Source organism: Homo sapiens, chromosome 3 (assembly GCF_000001405.40).
Source record: "Homo sapiens chromosome 3, GRCh38.p14 Primary Assembly".
NCBI classification, from domain to species: domain Eukaryota; kingdom Metazoa; phylum Chordata; class Mammalia; order Primates; family Hominidae; genus Homo; species Homo sapiens.
In genome coordinates, this window is record NC_000003.12 from 74589749 (window position 1) to 74612757 (window position 23009).

At 37.8% G+C, this 23009-nt stretch overlaps 1 protein-coding gene across 2 annotated transcripts in view, besides 1 other annotated feature; it reads right to left on the reverse strand.

The window, feature by feature from the left end:
• Positions 1 to 23009, reverse strand: part of CNTN3 (contactin 3) — a 352092-nt gene that overhangs the window by 327181 nt on the left and 1902 nt on the right. The window lies entirely within an intron of this gene.
• Positions 9328 to 10527: an enhancer, noted in NCBI's record as "BRD4-independent group 4 enhancer chr3:74648227-74649426 (GRCh37/hg19 assembly coordinates)". NCBI's record gives its function as "activates an origin of replication core promoter dependent on BRD2, P300/CBP, MED14 and CDK7 cofactors, and independent of BRD4, by STARR-seq in HCT116 cells {active_cell/tissue: HCT116}" and the evidence as "EXISTENCE:reporter gene assay evidence [ECO:0000049][PMID:35650434]".

The following is a 23009-nucleotide window of genomic DNA, read 5'->3' on the forward strand; positions in this document are numbered from 1 at the left end:
CATATACACCATGGGATACTATGCAGCCATAAAAAATGATGAGTTCATGTCCTTTGTAGGGACATGGATGAAATTGGAAATCATCATTCTCAGTAAACTATCACAAGGACAAAAAACCAAACACCACATGTTCTCACTCATGGATGGGAATTGTACAATGAGAACACATGGACACAGGAAGGGGAACATCACACTCTGGGGAGTGTTGTGGGGTGGGGGGGAGGGGGGAGGGATAGCATTAGGAGATATACCTAATGCTAAATGACGAGTTAATGGGTGCAGCTCACCAGCATGGCACATGTATACATATGTAACTAACCTGCACATTGTGCGCATGTACCCTAAAACTTAAAGTATAATAATAAAAAAAAGTATAATAATAATAAAAAATAAATAAACCAAAAACTCCAGGACCTCACTCCACTCAGTTACATCTATCCTGAACTTTTCAATAAAGAAAGTCAATACATTTGGAAGGGAGTGGAGGATAGAGGCTTGAGCCAATTTGACTTGGGTATCTGACATTTGCAACCAGAAGTATACTTTCCAATTCAGGACAGAACTATATTCATGTGGGAAAAGTAAAGTAAACATATACAACTATAACACAGATGCCCAACTATCACAAGACACTTTTAAGCAGACAATGGACCAAATGGTAAACTTTAAGCACAGATTAGCATTTGAGAAGAAGAACGGGTGGTGAATGAATGTACAACACAGAGACAGGGACGCAGTGCTCAGAGCAACTCTGGGCAGTGCTCAGAGCAACAGCTCTTGGAGCTCCTATCACTTTGGAAAACATATGGGGGCATTTTAGTTGACTCATTGATTGGGGAATATACCAGGGTCTTTAGAGGATACAGGCCATGGGGCTAGATGTCCTGCAATGCAATTGCCATATGGCTTTCAAGTGATGGTCATATGAGAGAAAAACCTACTCATTGTTTTCTGAGCTTACAAATAATTATTTGCATTATCTTAACACATAAAGATGCAACTTTTATGCCAATCAAAGGAAGACTGAATTCATAACATTCAGATGTCACTAAGAGTTGTGCAACATATCAGAAAACACATCAACAGTTGCAACTACACCTTCAATGGGAACCCAGTCAACAACTTGACTCAGTGATATTGGTCTGCTGCTGCAGCCATCACATTCACTGTGATGCTATAAATATATACAAATATACATAACTAGTTATTTTAAATGTCAGATATGAAGAAAAATGACTCAGATATTTAGCTGACTACTATCTTATTTCCCTGAAATCCAAGCTTAATTATTACAAGCAGATGCAAGCATTGGCAACCTCATCTTAGATTCCGGTGTAGTCACGGCTAATCATTTACAGAGTAAAACAACAGATTATATTACAAATTAATGTCCCCGTATTTCTACTTTTATTATACTTAGGGCCTTATGTTGGTTTTTTTGAGGTCATGTGAGTAAGTTTGTTACATATTCTATTTATTTCATGTCCGTACATAAAGGGGATGTTAGAAATTATTAGTAATATCAATGAGGTTTGAAAACCACTGACTCCAAGAAGAGCAACTGAAGGAATAATAATGTTTGTCAAAATGTGGGAAGCCTTGAATGCCAGGTTGGCAGTTTTTTTCTTGTGAGTGTGTTTTATTTATTTATTTTTATTTTTTACATTTCCCTGCAAGAGGCAGGAAGTTATTACAGTTTTGCAGTGGGAAAGTGGTGTGAAGACAGCTGTGTTCTAAGATAATTCATACAGTACTGTGTAGGGTGATCTGGGGAGAGGAGAGACCAGAGAGGCAGCAGCTGTAGTCACTGTAATGCTATAATAAAGGCCTGGAAGCGGGGAAACAGCTGGCAAGATGGAGCTGAGGAAAAATGCAAAGAAGACTCCATCGAGATAAGTGAGTGGCCTGGAGAGGTGAGGAAAGAATCAATGGTAACTCCAAGGTCTCTGGCTTTCCTGACAGGGAAGATGTATGGTCCTGAGACAGAAATAGGAAAGGGTAAGGCAAGAAGCTATGTCTGGGAAAAAGGATGAGTTCAGGTTCAGACATCCTTGAGTTGAAATCAAGAGCGAGACATTCAGATGGAAATAGTGGGCCTTGGTTGGCAATGTGGAACTCAGCCCAAGGAAGACAGGATAGATAATCAGGACACAGAAGCACCAGAGATGTAGAGAGGATGGGCTCCCTATCAGGCAAAAAGAGAGGAAAGAAAATTCAGTCCAGGCTGAGGCTCAGAAAAAATCTACCAGCAAGCAAGGGAAGAAGGCTAAAATATCAACCAGCCAGAGCAGCAGCTGGAGACACATAAAAAATCTCCAAAAGTTCAGTGGTATAAAAGTCAAAGCAGCTAAAGTGGTGGTGAAATCCATGAAGAAATACCACTGAGATCTTAGAAGGAATGAGGACCAGGACTCAACCACAGAACTTGACATTAAGAAACTGCTTGTGATCCTCAGGATTGCCACTTCTGTGGTGGCCAGATCAGAAGGCAGACTGGAAGATGATCAATGAGAGAGGAGAAGAAATGCAGGGGGCAGGAGCAGGGCACCTGTTCTAGAAGCTCAGTGGAGTAAAGGAGTTTAACAGGTCACCATTACTGACTGCAATATAGAGTATGATGAGAAATGTTGATTTATGTAGACAGCAGCTTCAAATCAGACTCAAGAATTGTTAAAAAAAATACGCTTACTCTAAAAATCACTTGGCAAAAAGAAAAACAGAATGAAACACACACACACACACACACATACACACAGTATCCAACGATTCTTACTTAAGAAGTCAAAAAGAGGAACACCAGCACTTTTTCTAGTTCCTCAGACTTCAGAAAGTAGCTGGCCTCTATGGCTTGGCCATGAGAGTGATATGCTGAGTCACTGTTTTCCTGAAGGAAAATGAGAATAAAGTGAAAAATCTTGATAGAAATTTCCTTCACAGTAAATGTGGGTCACATCTAACCCACATCTAACAAAGAAGTTAATCTTTAGAATAACCTCTCTTGTTCTTAATAAACTGATTTTTTAAAAACCTTAAACAAAACTTTACATTTTATATGTCACACTGATCATAAATTGCACTTATTTTTGTTGTGTAAACTCCCCAAAAAGAGATTCTCTTATTTTACACAAAAAATAAGTGAAATTCACTAATTCAGCAACTGCTGCCTTTAATCACTTCATAAAACTACCAGTTATTCAGTACCTAGTATATTCCAGGCACAACTATAGTTTTAAAATAAACTTAGCTTTGTAAAATATAAACGAATATGCAAATTGACTCAATATTCTAATTTATATATTATGGGATGCTGAGTTTTTGTTTTGTTTTGTTTTTAGAAAATGTCACACCAATGCTGACTAGCAAATTAACTGAGAGTTTTATAGCTTGGCAAATTTGTTTTCACTTTAGAACAATTTATGACAAGAGTCTATAGTGCATTGTGGCTAATTAATGACTTTTTGGGGTTTGACATACATAATACATTAGCTTTGTGACAGTTTCATCTCAGAGCCTCCTGAATCATCTCTCTCTAAAATTTCAAGGCATGTAAGTGGTTGAAAGAATACAAACTCTATTTTCTCTATTGTTTCGTAACAGCTTCTGGTACAAAGGTGATTTGCTTATAAACAGCAAAGAACAACGGACAGACATAGAGGGTTGATAGAAGACAACTTCGTGTGACTTTAAATTTCCAAAAATATAAAAATGTAACATAATTAGTCTAGAATTCCTAATGGTGCTATAATGTCTATGTGCTCATATGGAGGGAAATGATTTGCATTAATGTGAAAAATACACTACTTCTGTTTGAGTAGAATAATTACAACTATCAATGATCGAGTACCTCTGTGCCAGAAACTGTTATTTTTAATTTCACAAGAGTTATGACAGGTTGATTATACAGATGAGGAAACTGAAGCTTAGTTAAGTTTAACTTTCCAAGGCTACGTAGTTAGGAGGGTGAAATTGTTTACGGGTCTGTTTCTTGATTGGGACAAATGGGATAAATATTAGCTGCTGCTTTTATTATTTTAGCATCTGCTAAGAGGAAGCCCACTGTGTGAGAAATGCCTCACGGACTTGGAAATTCTAATAGAAAAGAAATATTAAATATATATCTCTTCTCCCAATACTCTCCCACCTCTGGGCCACCCTAGAACAGAGTAACTTGGAACAGAGTGACTGATAATTCACTCTATGGAGGTGGAGAAAAAATATAAGACTTTGAATGGAGGCCACAGAGGGGATTGAAGATGTAGGCAGCATGGAAGAGAAGATATGAAACTCCAAACAAAACATTTTATTCTCCTAGCTACATACCCAGTAAGAGATGGGGATGCGCTGAGAAGGGCAGGCAAACTCTGAATAGATTGTAAGCACTGAGTCTGTTGTGCACTTCCTAGTGTAGTCTGTGTGGTCTTGTTAGGCTCTAGAGTTGTTTGCTAATGGACAATTCCACCAGTCTCTAGCACTATTAAACACATAGTACTAGGGTTAGATATCCAAAACTGTATTTCTTTTTTTCTTTTTTTTTTTTTTTTTACTTTTTTTTTAATTATTATACTTTAAGTTTTAGTGTACATGTGCACAATGTGCAGGTTATTTACATATGTATACATGTGCCATGCTGGTGCACTGCACCCATTAACTCATCATTTAGCATTAGGTATATCTCCTAATGCTATCCCTCCCCTCTCCCCCCACCCCACAACACTCCCCAGAGTGTGATGTTCCCCTTCCTGTGTCCATATGTTCTCATTGTTCAATTCCCATCTATGAGTGAGAACATGCGGTGTTTGGTTTTTTGTCCTTGTGATAGTTTGCTGAGAAGAATGATGATTTCCAATTTCATCCATGTCCCTACAAAGGACATGAACTCATCATTTTTTATGGCTGCATAGTATCCCATGGTGTATATGTGCCACATTTTCTTAATCCAGTCTATCATTGTTGGACATTTGGGTTGGTCCCAAGTCTTTGCTATTGTGAATAGTGCCGCAATAAACATACGTGTGCATGTGTCTTTATAGCAGCATGATTTATAGTCCTTTGGGTATATACCCAGTAATGGGATGGCTGGGTCAAATGGTATTTCTAGTTCTAGATCCCTGAGGAATCGCCACACTGACTTCCACAATGGTTGAACTAGTTTACAGTCCCACCAACAGTGTCAAAGTGTTCCTATTTCTCCACATCCTCTCCAGCACCTGTTGTTTCCTGACTTTTGAATGATCACCATTCTAACTGGCGTGAGATGGTATCTCATTGTGGTTTTGATTTGCATTTCTCTGATGGCCAGTGATGATGAGCATTTTTTCATGTGTCTTTTGGCTGCATAAATGTCTTCTTTTGAGAAGTGTCTGTTCATATACTTTGCCCACTTTTTGATGCGGCTGTTTTTTTCTTGTAAATTGGTTTGAGTTCATTGTAGATTCTGGATATTAGCCCTTTGTCAGATGAGTAGGTTGCAAAAATTTTCTCCCATTTTGTAGGTTGCCTGTTCACTCTGATGGTAGTTTCTTTTGCTGTGCAGAAGCTCTTTAGTTTAATTAGATCCCATTTGTCAATTTTGGCTTTTGTTGCCATTGCTTTTGGTGTTTTAGACATGAAGTCCTTGCCCATGCCTATGTCCTGAATGGTAATGCCTAGGTTTTCTTCTAGGGTTTTTATGGTTTTAGGTCTAACATTTAAGTCTTTAATCCATCTTGAATTAATTTTTGTAGAAGGTGTAAGGAAACCACCATGATCAAGTGGGCTTCATCCCTGGGATGCAAGGCTGGTTCAATATATGCGAATCAATAAATGTAATCCAGCATATAAACAGAACCAAAGACAAAAACCACATGATTATCTCAATAGATGCAGAAAAGGCCTTTGGCAAAATTCAACAACCCTTCTTGCTAAAAACTCTCAATAAATTAGGTATTGATGGGACATATCTCAAAATAATAAGAGCTATCTATGACAAACCCACAGCCAATATCATACTGAATGGGCAAAAACTGGAAGTATTCCCTTTGAAAACTGGCACAAGACAGGGATGCCCTCTCTCACCACTCCTATTCAACGTAGTGTTGGAAGTTCTGGCCAGGGCAATTAGGCAGGAGAAGGAAATAAAGGGTATTCAATTAGGAAAAGAGGAAGTCAAATTGTCCCTGTTTGCAGACGACATGATAGTATATCTAGAAAACCCCATTGTCTCAGCCCAAAATCTCCTTAAGATGATAAGCAACTTCAGCAAAGTCTCAGGATACAAAATCAATGTACAAAAATCACAAGCATTCTTATACACCAAAAACAGACAGAGAGCCAAATCATGAGTGAACTCCCATTCACAATTGCTTCAAAGAGAATAAAATACTTAGGAATCCAACTTACAAGGGACGTGAAGGACCTCTTCAAGGAGAACTACAAACCACTGCTCAATGAAATAAAAGACGATACAAACAAATGGAAGAACATTCCATGCTCATGGGTAGGAAGAATCAATATCGTGAAAGTGGCCATACTACCCAAGGTAATTTATAGATTCAACGCCATCCCCATCAAGCTACCAATGACTTTCTTCACAGAACTGGAAAAAACTACTTTAACGTTCATGTGGAACCAAAAAAGAGCCCACATCACCAAGTCAATCCTAAGCTGGAAGAACAAAGCTGGAGGCCTCACGCTACCTGACTTCAAACTATACTACAAGGCTACAGTAACCAAAACAGCATGGTACTGGTACCAAAACAGAGATATAGATCAATGCAACAGAACAGAGCCCTCAGAAATAATGCCACATATCTACAACTATCTGATCTTTGACAAACCTGAGAAAAACAAGAAACAGGGAAAGGATTCCCTATTTAATAAATGGTGCTGGGAAAACTGGCTAGCCATATGTAGAAAGCTGAAACTGGATCCCTTCCAAAACTGTATTTCTTATTTCAAAAAAGGAGTAAACAATGCATACCAAAAAACACCTCAAAATACAGTATCAAAATTGAAATCAGTGGGCCTCTCCCCTACACAAATCAGTGAATATAAAATAAAAATGTGCAATGGACTTGACCACCACGGGTTCTTCAATCTGGAAATGGTATAATTCCATCATCAGAAGATATTACTATTTAAGAGGCAGAGATCCAACATCTTCAACATTAACATCATTATGTGCCATAAGGACAGCAAACGACCTGGGAGTAATCCCGTTACCTTCCAGTGAAGTATGACCAATGTTGCCCTGAAATTCAGTTGGATCCCTCCCATGTTCCTAATGACACTGGCAAGTAGGCAATTTAAACACTCCATCCATTCCATTTACATAAAATTCTAAGGTTACAACTTAATGAGAGGGGGGAAGGAAACTCCAGTCTCTACCCATTAGTTCACAGGTCTGACATTTAAAAATTTGTTAATGCATATTGTTTGTACACAAGCTTCTCTAAATCAGACTCATACTCACTTTAGTTCTAAAACAGAAAATCATCTTTTATAACTATTTCAGAAAGAGTTTATCACTGTCCTTAGAATAATGATTTCGTTAGCTATTAAACCTTTTCACATGATTTAATGGATGTAAAAACTCTCTGCACTCAAAGATCTTCCCTAAGCAAAAATCTTTCTAGAACTACATGTTATCAGGCAGTTTTTTTAATGAATAAAGAGTAACCCAGACGTGGTTCCTTCTAGCTACTGAGCTGTGGCTTTGTGAAATGGAATTTACAATTACTAAAAAGAAAACAGCCCCAAATCCCACAACTCCTTTCACTTAATTATTCATGATATTGATCAGCACATTTATTTTTAAAAACAAATGAAGTTAGAGCAGCACTCATATAGGAAGAAAACTTCTTGCTAACTTGCATTACTGTGGACTGGGGAGTTTCTTTTTCAGGGATTTGTACTTTGCATATGGAAATTTTAAAGCCAATCAAACATCATCACAACATATTTAAAACAAGCTTACAATGTTAAAAGCCGTCTTTGCAGGTGATACTTCTAATTTACTCATCAAGAGAAGTTTCTGTTTATTGTTCTTAATCATAAAAATTAGATAACTCTAGCAATACTAAAAATAAATGTGGTAATGATGAAGAAAATAGGAAAAGTCAGCTAGGAGCTGAAAAAATTTCTTCAAATTTTACAAGTCATGTTCACTTTCAGTAAATCAAAAGACATCAGATATAAAACTTCCTACTACCCATAACAATTAAGTGTATCTTGCAAGCTTCTAGAATAAAACAAAGGAAATATGTGGGCTCAAGTAGTTCCTTAGAGTGGAAGATTATAAAGATGATAGCCTATGATTCCTTTTATGGTTTACATCATGCTGCTCCTCCCCAGAAAGAGTAGAGTCTGTTTCTCCTACTCTTGATTCTAGACTGGCCTTATGACATGCTTTAACCAACATAAAGTGGGGAGGTGATGCTCTGCCAGTCCCAGACTTAGACTTAAGAGATTTTCCAGCTTCCACCTTCCCTCTCTTGGAATATAAGAGAAAAGAAAGCAAACCTGGAAAGCTGGATGATGATAAGTGAGAGACACCAAGCCATCCAGATCCCAGCCATTTCGGTTGCCCCACCGGAGGCACCAACCTTGTAAGTGAAGACATCTTGGATTCTCCAGCCCAAGTCAAGCTATAGCAACCAACACCATATGGATCAAAGATGAGATGTCTTTGAAGAGCCTTCTTCAAACTCCAAACCCACAAAGAATTGTAGGTAATAAAGTAAATTTTTAAAAATTATTTTTATTTTTTTTGTGGCCCAGGCTGAGTGCAGTGGCATGATCGCAGCTCACTGAAGTCTTGACCTCCCTGGCCCAAGCCATAGATAATCAATAAATTTACAGTAGAATTCAATATAATGTGATTTTAAGTTATAGTGAAAGTTACTGTGTCCTTTAATATAGTAAGAAATTCATACTAATTCTATAAAAAAATCAATGAAAAATACTTCCTGAGACATCTACTACATATAAGGCACTAAGATAACATTAATTCTAGTAATATCAACCATTTAATGTGAGCTTAAATATGATTAGTTAGTCATCAAATATGTATGAAATGTCTAGTAAGATCCAGGTAGTGTGCTGGGCACAGGTGACCAGCATTCAGAGAAATTTCGCAGTTTAGATAGGTATACAGGCAAGCAAAAGGCAAATATAATACAGTATAATAATTGCTATCATAACAAAGAGTTAACATTTAGATGTAGAGATATTTTTAAAATCTAAATATAACTATTTTGAAGCAATATGAAAAGCATCATAAGAAAGGTAGCTACACTGCTCATTTGTTGTAAGGACTGAAGTGGTTAGCATAACACTTAACACATAATTAATCCACATTGAGTGATGCTAAAAATCTGAACTACATAAATGGTTGCAAGAATTCAAGCAGGGAGAGATCATGAGTGGTTTGTAGGTTATTTATGGATTTTATCTAATTTGTTCAGTAATTTGGAGAACCTACTCTATGCCAGGCACTGGGATACAGGGGTAGCCAAGAAATACAAGTTTCCTGCTTTGATACTGCTCAATTTGGAAAACAGACATGAAATAAGGGTAATGAGTGATAAAGAAAAGCAGAGCAAAAGACTGTCATCTGTTCAAGAGAGTGCCATTTAATCTGAAACTTGGTAGATGAGTAAGAATGACCCAGGTCAGCACTCTCCAACCTTTTTGGCACCAGGGACCGGTTTCATGGAAGACTATTTTTCCATGAACCAGGTGGGGGCCAGGGATAGTTTGGAGATGAAACTGCTCCAACTCAGATCATCAGGCATTAGATTCTCATAAGGAGCATGCCACATGTAGATCCCTCACATACGCAATTCACAAATGGGTTTGCACTCCTATGAGGATCTCATGCCACCACTGACCTGACAGGCGGCAGAGCTCAGGCAGTGATAGGTAATAGTAATAGGATACAAAAAACCATGTACAAGCCACCAAAGCCTCTGTGGGAAATGACTAACTGAATGTGAAATGTTCATATTGCATCAGCCAAGGCAAGTCACCTGACCAAGCCTTCCAACATCAATGGGGCAGAGAAGATGCACCCTCTCCCAGAGGTGAGTAATGACTCCCAATGATTTCTCAATAGCAATAAGGCAAACATTTGGATAGATAGGTCTAGATCTTTACATAATGCTGATGGGACTACAGAGACATGAAGAGAGAACATTATGTTGAACCTTAAAAAGGATGGGTGTGATCTTGACAGAAGTAAAGAAAACCATTAAGAGCATTCCAGGCATAAATGTAGGGCAATGAAAAGGAAAGCACAGTTGGTTGATGACAGTTTTTTATTTATCTCCATGTTTCTCTCTTTACAAGTGAGGAAGAAAAAAGAGAAGGAAAAATGAATTAATCATATGTGGGATAAGAAGAGTGGGACAATCAAGGGCTCTCTGACCTAAAGAGCGGAGAAAGAGGGAGAGCCTTGGAAAGAAAGGAAGAAAAAAGGTTTAAGGTGAATAGGGGAGTTGAAAGACGTCCTGAAAAGCAAACTCAATTTCAACCCTATAGATGAAATCCTATAAATGTGGAGAAAAGTGGGACCAACTTGGGGTCTGAGATCAGTAGAAAAGTTCACTCACAATCACTACGGAGGAAAAAGCAATAGTTCCCATTTACAGTTATATAAATTTTTCTTCCAAGTGGAGGCTGTTCTAGAATGAAAAATGCACTGCTTCTGGACGTGGGAAATATGGGTTTCATTTCTGGTTTGGTCATTAACCTGTTATTTGACCTGAGGCACTCTATGAATCTTTTTAGTCTCACTGGTAAAATGCATTCTAAGACTTGCTTTATAAGATTTTTTGAATGAAAGTTAAAAGCTATCTACAGAGATAATTCACCCAGATCCAACCCCCCAGTGTGCAGTCTATTACTTTAGATTCAAAACAGGCCATGACCTCAGATTTACCTTCACACTCTAATAACATTCAAGTAGTCAACACTACCCAAATCATGGCCTTTCACTATAGCAACTAAAATTCACCAAGTAGCCGCTAAAACACACTCTCAAATCCAACCATGGAAGTGATTCGTGGGTTTAAGAGCATGCCAGGCCAGATTTTTTCAACCAGAAATCCTGTACTTTGACTTCCAACTCTCCAAATCTGGAGGAGTCATCAATCCTACATTCATATGAAACCTTCCTTGATCATTCTACCTCAGTTTCCTTTAATTCTTCCCAACTCTCTGTTCTTTTAGCATACAGCATCTCTCTTATTAGGTTAGTGTTGTTGTCTTTATTATTCACTACATGAGACTTACATATATAAACATATGTATATCATATATATTTACATATATAATATATGTCCTATATTTTTATATTTATATAAAAGTCACATGTAGTGAATAATAAAGACAACAACACTAACCTAACTGCAGAGCTCAATGGGTAGCATCTAATGAGTTTTGCTAAGGGCCTGGCCTTATCTCATGGATTCCTTACAATAGATTTATACAGTAGAAACCATTATTCCAACTTTACAGGTGAAGAAACTGAGACTTAGAGAAGGCAGTTAATTTGCCCAAGGTAAGAAACTATCAAGTGGCAGACAGAGATTCCATGGAATAAGAAGCATACAGATTACTACTAGACAAAACTAACTGATACTCTTCACTACATTTCCAAATACATATCTGAGTTCTTTTAATTGAACGGTACACTCTTGAAGAATTTCATTATATTTCCCACCTCTGTGTGTTATTGGGTCTCACAAACGGCTCCTTCACTTAGGCAGTAATTAGAGGTATAATTTATTCATAAGCAATAAAGTGACAGTTTACATTTCCTGTTTCTAATTTGAAAGGCAACTAAAAACTAGAGGGCATTTACAATGCTTAATGGATGTGAGGTTTGGTGGTATGACAGATTGCATTATTGGCCCAAATTCTTCACCCTTTTTTGTATTTATGCTTTCGGTCATGTGACACTGCAGTTCCTCCCACTAATGAGGCAGAGGATAATTCCCCACCCTTGACTTGGGTTTGGCCATGTTTTTTTGTTATGGCCAACAGTATGAGGCAGAAGTGGTAATATTCCAGTAGCAATACAAGATCTTAAGAGACCTTGTGTGTTTGCCTCTTATCTCTTTGCATCCCTGCAATTGGCATGAGAATAATTTCCATCAGGGAGCTTCTCCTTCAGAATCAGTTCCACCATGAGACATATGGAAACAATAGAGCCAGACAGTCCTGCAGATTGAGCAAAGTAACCATACCAGCCCAGCCTAGATAAGCCAACTCCCAGCTGACCCATAAAAATATGAACAGGCCAGGCATGATGGCTCATGCCTATAATCCCAGTACTTTGGGAGGCTTGAGACAGGAGGATCATTTCAGCCCCAGAGTTCGAGACCAGCCTGGAAGTACAAAAAATTAAAAATTAGCCAGGCACGGTGGTGCATGGCTGTAGTCCCAGCTACTTGGGAGGCTAAGGTAAGACGATCACTTGAGCCTTAAGCCTAGGAGTTCAAGCCTGCAGTAAGCCATGATCGCACCACTATACTCCAGCCCAGGCCACAGAGCAAGACCTGGTCTCAAAAAAAAAAAAAAAAAAAAAAAAAAAGAACAAACAAAACTTAGTTCAGCAGAACCACCCTAGCCAATGTGACAGAGTGAGAGATATATAAACATATGTTATTTTAGACTATTGAAATTTGGGGAGGGGGGCTTTTTTCTACATAGAATTATTGTGGTAACAGCTAATTCATGTGGGTAAATGGTATTTTTGTTCGCAAATATTCATTATTCACTCTCAGCTTTAGTGGTTTGGTTTAGTTTTTTGTACTTCTGCCATAAGCTGTAGAGACTATAATAAAATCTCAGACTTCCAGTCAGATTACTTGATTAGATAAGAACTTTTGGGGCATAGTTCTTGTTAAGGGTGTGGATGTAATTTATGTACATGTGACTAAGAGTATATTTTGTGTGTATGAGATCAAGAGAGGTAGAATACACATATAAACTATACTACTGTTTGTAAGCACTTGCTTACCTCCCCTTCCTTAATTAGCCCTGTGACTTCTGGCCAATAAAATGTGAGAAAACTTGACATATGACCAGTCGTACCAAAGTTTTGAATACAATTGCATGGTCTAGCTAAGTCTCTTGTGTTTCTGCCCTCACTAATGTGAACAGAATGTCCCAGATAAGGGTCATTCTTAACTTGGGCTCCTTAGAGACAAAATCTGAAATGAAGAAGGTTTATTGAGGAGTGCTCTTGAAAGAAACTACTGTAAAGGCAGAGGGGGACCCTAAAACTTAAAGTACTTGCAACTGAGGTCTCAGCTGATCCTTACTCCAGGGCTGGGATGGCCCCTCTTGGCTACCTCTCTTGATCTCATACACACAAAATATATTCTTAGTCACAGGTATATAAATTACATGCACAGAGTTGTCCAAATTAAGCCAACTCCAGTCTTTGTGCTTTTGCAACAGTCAGTCACTGATTATGGACCACTACTCAGAGGAAGCACAACCTTGGCTGAGACAGTTCCCCTAAGGCAAAGGGAAATTCCCAGTGGGGAGTGAAGATGTCAGCTACATGGCAGCTGATATTCCAGTCAGGTGGTGGATACATATGTGGTCCTTAAATAGTGGGCCTGGATTGGGCACCACAGTATCCACTACAAAACTGTCTCTTCAACCTAGATCCTAGCAGAATAAGCCACATAGAGCAGGCACATAGCCAATGCACAATATGGAAGAGCAATGCTGATCCAAAGCTGACCCACAGCTCTCATGCAACGCAGATGAATAATGCTTGCTAGAAGCCACTGAGATTTTTGAATTGTTATCAAAGCAAAAGCCGACTGTTACATTTATACAACAACAAAAAAGATATCTCACATTTTTAAGCAGTTACTTACTTTTTTTAAGTACTTTTTTTATACTGAGTTTGAAATGGAAGAAGATACAAATAAATGGAAAGATATCCTACGTTTATGGACTAGAAGAAATAATATTATTAAAATGTCCATATCACCCAAAGCAATCTACAGATTCAGTGCAAGTCCTAACAAAATTCCAAAGACATTTTTCACAGAAATAGAAAAAAAAATCCTAAAATTTATATGGAATCACAAAAGACCCTCAATAACCAAAGCAATCTTGAGCAAAAAGAACAAGCTGGAGGCATCACACTACCTAACTTCAAAATATGCTACAAAGCACAGCAATCAAAACAGCATGGTGCTGGCATCAAAACAGAACGCATATCCCATCAGAACAGAACAGAGAGTCAAGAAATAAATCCATGCAGTTACAGTCAACTGATTTTGACAAAATTGCCAAGAACACATAATGAAGAAGGGACAGTCTCTTCAATACATGGTGTTGGGACAACTAGATTTATGCAGAAGAATGAAATTAAACCTTTATCTCACACCATTTACAAAAATTAACTCAAAATGAATTAAAGGCTTAAACACAAGACCTGAAACCATAAAACTACTAGAAGGAAGCACAGGGAAAAGGCTCCATGACAGTGGTCTAGGCAATGATTTTTTGGATATAACCCCAAAAGCACAGGCAACAAATGTGAAAACAATTAAATGAGCTCAATTCAAACTAAAAAGCTTCTGCACAGCCAAGGAAAGAATCAACAGGAAGAAGAGACAATCCATGGACTAGAGAAAATATCTGCAAACCACACATCTGTAAGAGGTTAATATTCAGAATGTATAAGGAACTCAAACAACTCCATAGCAAGAAAACAAATAACCTAATTTTAAAATAGGCAAAGATCAGAAAAAACATTTATCAAAAGAATACATAGAAATAGCAAATGGGTATATGAAAAGGTGTTCAACCTCACCAATCATCCAAGAAATGCAAATTAAAATCATAATGAGCTATCACCTTACACTCATTAGAACAGGTATTATCAAAAAGACAAAAGGTAAATGTTGGAGAGGATGTGGAGAAACCTTGCACACTGACAGAGGGAATGTCAATTACTGTAACCATTATAGAAATCAGTATGGAGGGTCCTCAAATAATTAAAAATATAACTACCATAGGAACTAGCAATAGGAATACTGGGCATATAGTCAAAGGAAACGAAATCAGTATGTCAGAGATATCTGCACTCCTGTGTTCATCGCAGCATTATTCACAATAGCCAAGATATTCAATACAAATTTAAGTGTCCAACAACAGATGAATAAAATGTGGTATATACACACAATGGAATATTATGCAGCCATTGAAAAGGAAGGAAATTATTTCAATTGTGACAGTCTGGATGAATTTGAAGGACATTCTGTAAAGTGAAATAAGCCAGACAAATAAAGACAAATACCACTTGATCTCACTTACATATGGAATCTAAAAAAGTTGAAATCATAGAAGTAGAGAATAGAATGGTGGTTACCAGGGGGGTGAGGAGGGAGGTTTAGGGAGATGTTGGTCAAAGGATACAGAATTTCTGTTGGACAAGAAGAATAAGTTCAAGAGATCTATTATACAACATGGTGACTATAATTAATAATGCATTGTATTCTTGAAAATCACTAAGAGAATAGATTTTAAGCTTTTTCACCATACAAAAAATAAGCATGTGATATAATATGTTATTTAGCTCAATTTATTCATTCTACAATGTGTACATATTTTAAGACATCATGTTGTATACAATAAATATATATAATTTTCCAAATTAAAAGTAATTATATTAATTTTTAAAAAGTTTGTGTGTGTTATTGCTGCATAAACTACCCCCAAAATAAATAGCTTAAACAAAGAATTTATTATCTGATGATTTTGAATTTGACCTGAGCTCAGCTGAGCATTTAGTTTGGTAGTTTTGCCCGGAGCCATTCGAGTAACATAAGTCATCTGATAGCTTAATTGGGACTGATGGCCTCACTCACATCACTGGCTACCAGTTTTGGCTACTTGCCAGCTATTGGCTACTAGCTATCTCTGTGTGACCTGTGTTTCTCAAGGAGGCTTGCCTGGACTTCTCCACAGGGCAGACTCAGTGTGCAAGAATAGAAGCTCCCAGGCTTAGGAGCAGAATTCACAATAACGTCAGTTGAGCCACATTTTATTTTTCAAATTCAATAGGCTAACTCAGATTCAAGGGAAAGGGAAATGGACTCCATTGCTTGAAGGTAAGAGTGAGTCACCATGCAAACTGCCAAGGAAGGTATTGTGGCCACCATCTTGCAAACAGTCTATTATAGGCCTGATGTGTGTTTTATCTTTTTCTGAAGTTATTTTTCTCTAAATAGCAAACTTAATACATTTTACATCCCCTATTCCCATCCTGCCCTCTCCCCTCAAAAAAAAGTGTGAGTAAACATATGCAATTTTTCCACTAGAGACCATTGAAAGCATTCAGCCACTATGGGTCAATACAGAAGAGTCTATTCAAAAACACAACCAAAAGCAAACAGGAACACTAAAAAAAGGAAAAGAAGAGGGAGACGGATACAGAGAGGCAGATAAAAAGATGGAGGAAGAAGCAGCAGAGGAAGAAGAGATTGAGTAACTTTAAAAACAGGGGCATATTAATCTTATATACAATCTAAAATGCCTCCCCATCATTTGATTTTAATCTCTTCTGCTTGAACGCTTACAAGATGTCTGTAATTCATCCCTCACAAGTTTATGATTTGGGATTAACTCTATCCCCTATCCTAATCTATGTCTTATGCATTTTGTGTGTGTGTCCGTGTGGGTGTGTGTCTGTGTGTGTATACATGCACACATGTGAGAGTATGTATGTGTGAATGGGTGGGTTGGGTTATTGAAGGTCAAAGTAGGGTAGGAAGAAGAATGACAGAAATAATCATATTATAAAAATAGAATATAAAAAGTCAAAACTCAGAAAAATGCCCTAACTCTGAAAAATGACAAAAAATGATATTTTCCAAGCAAGTCATAATATAGAACTATTTAAAGCAACAGACAATTATGGCACTATCAGATTAAAAAGGATATTGACTATATTCTAGAATTTGCCATTATATGGAAATACACCCTTCACTTGTAAGTATCTTCATAGAATGCATGGTTTGTTTCACAATATAACGAAACCCATATATTAAGACCCTTTTGTTCTTTTTAAAAACTAATGTTGCCACTAAAGTTTACAGACTTAATTTCACAGGGCAACTGCTGCTTAACACTAATGAAACAACAGCGCAATACATTACTACTAAATAGAAACATGTATATCTCCATATTACATATGAAGAAAAAAATTTATGTACTCCAATGAATAAAAGGAGAAACTTGGGCCTGCATGGCTCACATTTCAAAACCATACAGTCCATGCACAAAGCTTTTGATCAGTTTTATTTAAAATAAATAGAAGCCCTAGTAAGAAGAGAAAAATTAACCTGCCTCGTATATGCAAATGTGAAAGCTTCTTAGGCAAAGGGAATGCACAGGGGCGAGGGAGGTGCAGTCACACACAGCCGACTTTGGTACAAATATGCCTTATCTGTATTCCAGAGCTTTCAGAATATTCACCGGAATTAGTAATTGGTAATCAGCAACTTTCGGCTACTTTACATTCAGGGAGGCGGCCAGACCAAGTGAGTAGCAGGCATCAGATTAGATCACTAGCTATATTGTTCGGGTTGATTTTAATTGCCTGAAAAGTGTCATTACCATCTTCTGCAATGCATTAAGTTATTTTAAAAGTGACTATTTCTATGCAAGAAATAAAATGAACTGCGATTGAGTTAGAACCTGCATGAAGCATTCAGTTGGGGCCCTGCCCTAGTGGCATCAAAATCCTGCCCAAGCCTGACCACACTGATAAACAAACATATTTGCTATCTGCAGAACTTTTCAAACGTAGCATGGGGAAGTCAACACAGATTCCCAAACCAAAGACACAGAGAACCACCCAAATGTTATATCCTGGCTTATAAAATCCCAAGATTTCCATTTCCATACAGGCATCTGCAAGGTAAAGGAGTTCATGATATTTAAGAACAAGACAAATATTTGCATGGAAAAAGATCCATGGAAGTGGAATTTTTCAATGCTAGAATACAGTTGCAAAATTATCACATTAGTGTATGCTGACATGGAAATGTCACCTCTCAGGACATTTGTTCTTTAAGTTAAAATCCTAGAAACATGAACCTCTACATGGGATAAAACCGTGTAGGGCTATACACATATTCATGAAATCAGGTTTAAAAAATGATGACAACTGAATAAGGTCTGCAATCTAGTTAACAGTAATGTACCAATGTCAATTTCCTGGTTCTGGTATTGCAGGACAGATATATACAATGTCACCATACGGGGAAGTTGGATGAAGATTATACAGAACTCTTTGTACTATGTTTTACAACTTCTGTGAGTTTAAAATTACTTTAAAACAAAAAGCTAAAAAATGCAGATTAGCAAGCTGTACCCCAGAGATGATTCAGAAAATCTTGTAAGGGCTAAGGTATCACCATTATTTCAGCAGAACCCCAGTTAACCTTTCTGCAGAAACATCAGAAGTTGAGAAACAGTGCAAGTGAAATAGACTATTCTCGGCTCTATGACAGGGGCTTCCTCTTTGAAGGATGACTGGTGAGACTGTTTAATGCCTACAAAATTTCCCCCATTTATAAGTAATTATTTATGGTTTAGGAAGATGTGCTTTTGATTTGTTGTGATGCAGTCATTTAGTTATTTCTTTCATACGCTAATGTTTCACTCCAATAAAATAATGAATTTTGAGAACTTCCCATTACTTCCTTGCACTAAAATCAGCTCATTACTTCAAGGACCAGTCCTCGGTGCTCACAACCTTTGGCTTATGCTTCCTTTAGAGCATATGTTTGTCACAGAATTTTCTAAATTCAGATCATATCAAGATGTTCATCTGTTGTCAACTAATGATTTGTCACTCAGAAACTCTGCAAAATAAAATAAAATCTTTATACACTAAAATAAATTTTAGCCCTAGAAAAAGAAGCCCCACTATAACTATAGCTGCACTTCATGCCAATTAAAAAGATTAGACTTTCTATCTTTCCAGAAATATTTACCAAAGTCTTAACATGTGCATGCTACTCCATCAATAGACTATCAGGAAAAGCAGATATTAAACAATTTTACAATATTAATTAGATTATAATACATTTACCCCCTAAAGGAGAAACAAAATTTAAATGGTCGATTGTAGATAGCATAGAGGTCAAACCTAGTCTAGGGGGACAGTCAAGGCTACCTGGAGGAATGGCTAGGTTGGGTATCACCTTGACAAATGGTAAGGTTGGAAGTAAAGAGCTTTCCTGAACGAAACAACAAAGAATTGAGGGTGGAAATGAGTCAACACGGGAATAAGGAGAGTGGAGTGGAAGTCATGGGTGTTCCAAGCACATGCAAGAACACTGAAGCAGGGCCATGTTGAGTTTTCAAGGAAGTTTGAAAAGACCCATGTATTATAGCTGGAGTGTTAAGTATCAGGGGAGAATTAGGGAGAAGTCACATACAGACAGGCTGCATCAGTAGCATATTTTTCTCTATGCAGTGGGTGTCCAGTGACCCAAGGGGTCGGCCTCATGGATTAATACAGCACTGCGTGTCAAATAGATTGGAACAAGAAAGAGAGTGAGGAGAAAGTCATTTCTTAATCTCCTGCATTTAGGTGAGAAGTACTTAAAACCCAGCCTGGCACATTGCTTGAATGAATGTTCTTGTATTTTTAATCGGTGGACTGGCTACAATGGCAAAGGGAGAAGATGGTGACAAAGACCACTGACTCCAGATGCCTTGATGACCCCAATGATAGCTAAAGGAAGAACAGACCACCTAAGCTCTTAGGAAACGGATTGAGAGGAAAAATGATAATTCCATTTTGGACAACATTGGTTTGAAGTAGCAGGTGTCCAAGAGATGTACGAGATCACGGGCAATGTGACAGAAAGAATACTGTCAAAGTCAGCTGCAGACTTCTGCTGAATACGGACCTTCTTGACAGGATCTTTGGTTACATATGGCAAGCTCAGCAAACCAATAAGCTTAGTTGTCATAGGTTTATCAAACTCCACTGTGGGCCAGATACTTTGACAGAAGCTGCTTTGCAATAATGCATAAAATAGATGTGGTAACTGCTTACAAGGTACTTACAGAATATAAACATACAATCAGGTAAGGAAATGTACAGTTCCAAGTTATACTAAGCATACCAAGGAAATGAACAGAAAGAGCCTATCAGAAGTGCCCTCATTCAGGGTAGGAAGGAAATCAGAGAGCCCTCTCTAAGCAAATGATATTTACACTGTGGCCTAAGGGATGAGTAGCAGTCAAAAACTCTATGTGGGCCAGACTCAGCGGCTCACACCTATAATCTCAGCACTTTGGGAGGTCGAGGTGGGCAGATCGTTTGAGTTCAGGAGTTCAAGAACAGCTTTGGCAACATGGTGAATTCCCATCTCTACAAAAAATCCAAAAATTAGCCAGGGCATGGCGGTGTGTGTCTATAGTCCCAGCTACTCAGGAGACTAAGGTGGGAGAATCACTTAGCCCAGGAGGTCGAGGTTCCAGTGAACCATGATCGCACCACTGCACTCCAGCCTGGGTGACAGAGTGAGACCCTGTCGAAAAAAACAAAAATGAAAAAAAAAACCCTGTGAGTTTGTGTGTGTGCACACGTGTGTGCGTATGTGTGTTTAGGCGTTAGGGCTGGACAGGGCTACTGGGCAAAAGAACAGAATGATCCCTAACATAGGAAAGAGCTCAACACATCTGCAGAAATGAAAAAGGGTCTAAGAAGCTCTTGTTCCTAAAAGCTTGCTAGGAATTGTCAAAGGGACAGTAGTGTTTAAATCCCACACAGCCTTGCAGGTAATATTTAATAGTTTGGATTTTATTCTGAGTTCAATGAAAAGCCATTTAAGCATTCTGAGTAGATGAGTACTAATTTAACTTACATTAAAAAAAAAAGAAGTCTTGGCTGCTATGCAGGATGATTTGGGGGAAGAAGTACGAAAGGAGCCAAGGAAGCCAGTGTAGTTATCCCAGGAGAGAAGATGGGGACTTGGAGAAGGAGGACGTGGGTGAACATGGAGGGAAGTGGGCGAATGTGAGAGATATTTCAGGGTTAGAACCAAAAGGACATATAAGGTCTGAGTTGTACTAGTTCCCCAAAATAAAAGCACTTGAAGTATTGTGATGGTGTCAAGATTTACCCTATTAAAACAGTATACTGACAGCCTCATTTATCAGTAATATAATCAAGCAGTTTTGAAATATGGATCTCATATCTTAACATCTGAAAGGTAATCAAAGTCAAGGGACTTAAAAAACAAATGGGACAAAATTGTTCTCTTGTTTTAGAACATAGGAAATTTACAAGCTGAGTTATAAAGGCACCTAAGAGAATGCTATGGAATCACTACAACATAGATAATCTATGTCTTCAAATGCCAATAGGTCTGCAACAAGAAATATGCAAACTCACTGAATTATTTTATCCTACTTAAGAAAATAGTCATTTTTCCTCATTCCTTGCAAGGCAGGTTCTTGCACAGTAAAGATTCTACAAATATTTACATTCCAAGTAGCAAAGCTGTTTGAAATGCTATAAAGTTCTGCCAGCACTTCTATTACAAACCCTTATTTCTTGTTTATAACATGTACATAAAAGGGGGAAAATAAAAATGTACTATGGATTGAAACTTGGCATACAAAGTTTCAACCAGGGAGTGCATTTCTCCTGCAGCAATTTTTCCAAAGAAATGTCCCACTGTGTTTAAGAGATGAGTGCAGGGGAGACTATAAGATAAAAACCATTTACAACACTCGATCCATTTCTGAAATGTTTATACAAATTGGATATGAGAATGAGATCTGTCACCCCTCAATTTCAAAGAAATGTTCTATCTTAAACTGTTCCGTGGCCCCATATTCTCTTGCCAACTATCTTTGCAACAATGATATTCTCCATTGCACTTTTTTCAAGCATAAGAAAGGAAACTGTCCACCAGCATTAAGTGATTAATTATATATGCATGTTAAAAGTATATGCATATGCATGTGTGCATATTAAAAACTACAAGTGAGCACCTTAAAGATGCTCACCTTCATAGAGACAAAGTACCTTGCTAAGATAAGAAGGCTTAAAGGCAGACTGGTGGTGACAACTAAATCAGAGACAGCAGGCAAACATGCACAGCATCAATAAATCCTCCTGCCATCTGAATATATTCCACTACATAAAATTAACATTAGTTTTACTGCTAACAACTTACTAACTGGTGATTGGAAACCAGTCAAAGCTTCTCTGTTTTGTAGTATTGCCACAGTATAGCGATATACAGATCTGACAGTTTGGAAGCAGCAATTATATCTATATACTATTTCAGCATGAACCATATTAAGAGTTAATGAGAACTTCAAGTTGGACACTTAAATTTTGCAGTAAAAACAAAGCTGGAAGATGTGTACTGAATGTGTGAGAAGGAGTTAGGAACTTGTAAAAGAGAAAGATGCATATTTTGCAAGCAGAGAAAAGAGGCTATTAGTTTGTAATAACTGGGCATATATGAAATGTGACAGTGATAAAATTGAACATAAATCAGCAAAGGAAAGGCTACAGCTTGTTGTCCACGGCTAATCTTCTCTCTACTTGAAAGTGCTCAGCACTTTGCTCCTATTAAATGCTTTGTTGCCATTTTAAGGTACACTTGGGCTATCTGGTTGTGTTGTGAAGAATATTTAAAAGTTAGAGTTCTCCTGGAGAAATGAACTTAACATCTTCATGTCTTCGGGCTGACATTAATGACATCCAGACAGTGAGGAGGACATGAGGCTGAATGTTATTGTCTGTGGCGGCCACAGCCTGAATCTATTACCCTGCATATCAATTAGACACTCGGTGTCTCGGTTATCCTACTTTTAGACAGAAGGGCCACTTGCATGCATTCAGCCTTACTATTCATCTTATAAAAGTGTACAGCAATTTGCTATATTTCCCTGGTGGATACTGATCATTTTGGGGGTCCTCAAACCACATGTTTACTCTCAACTAATTTCAA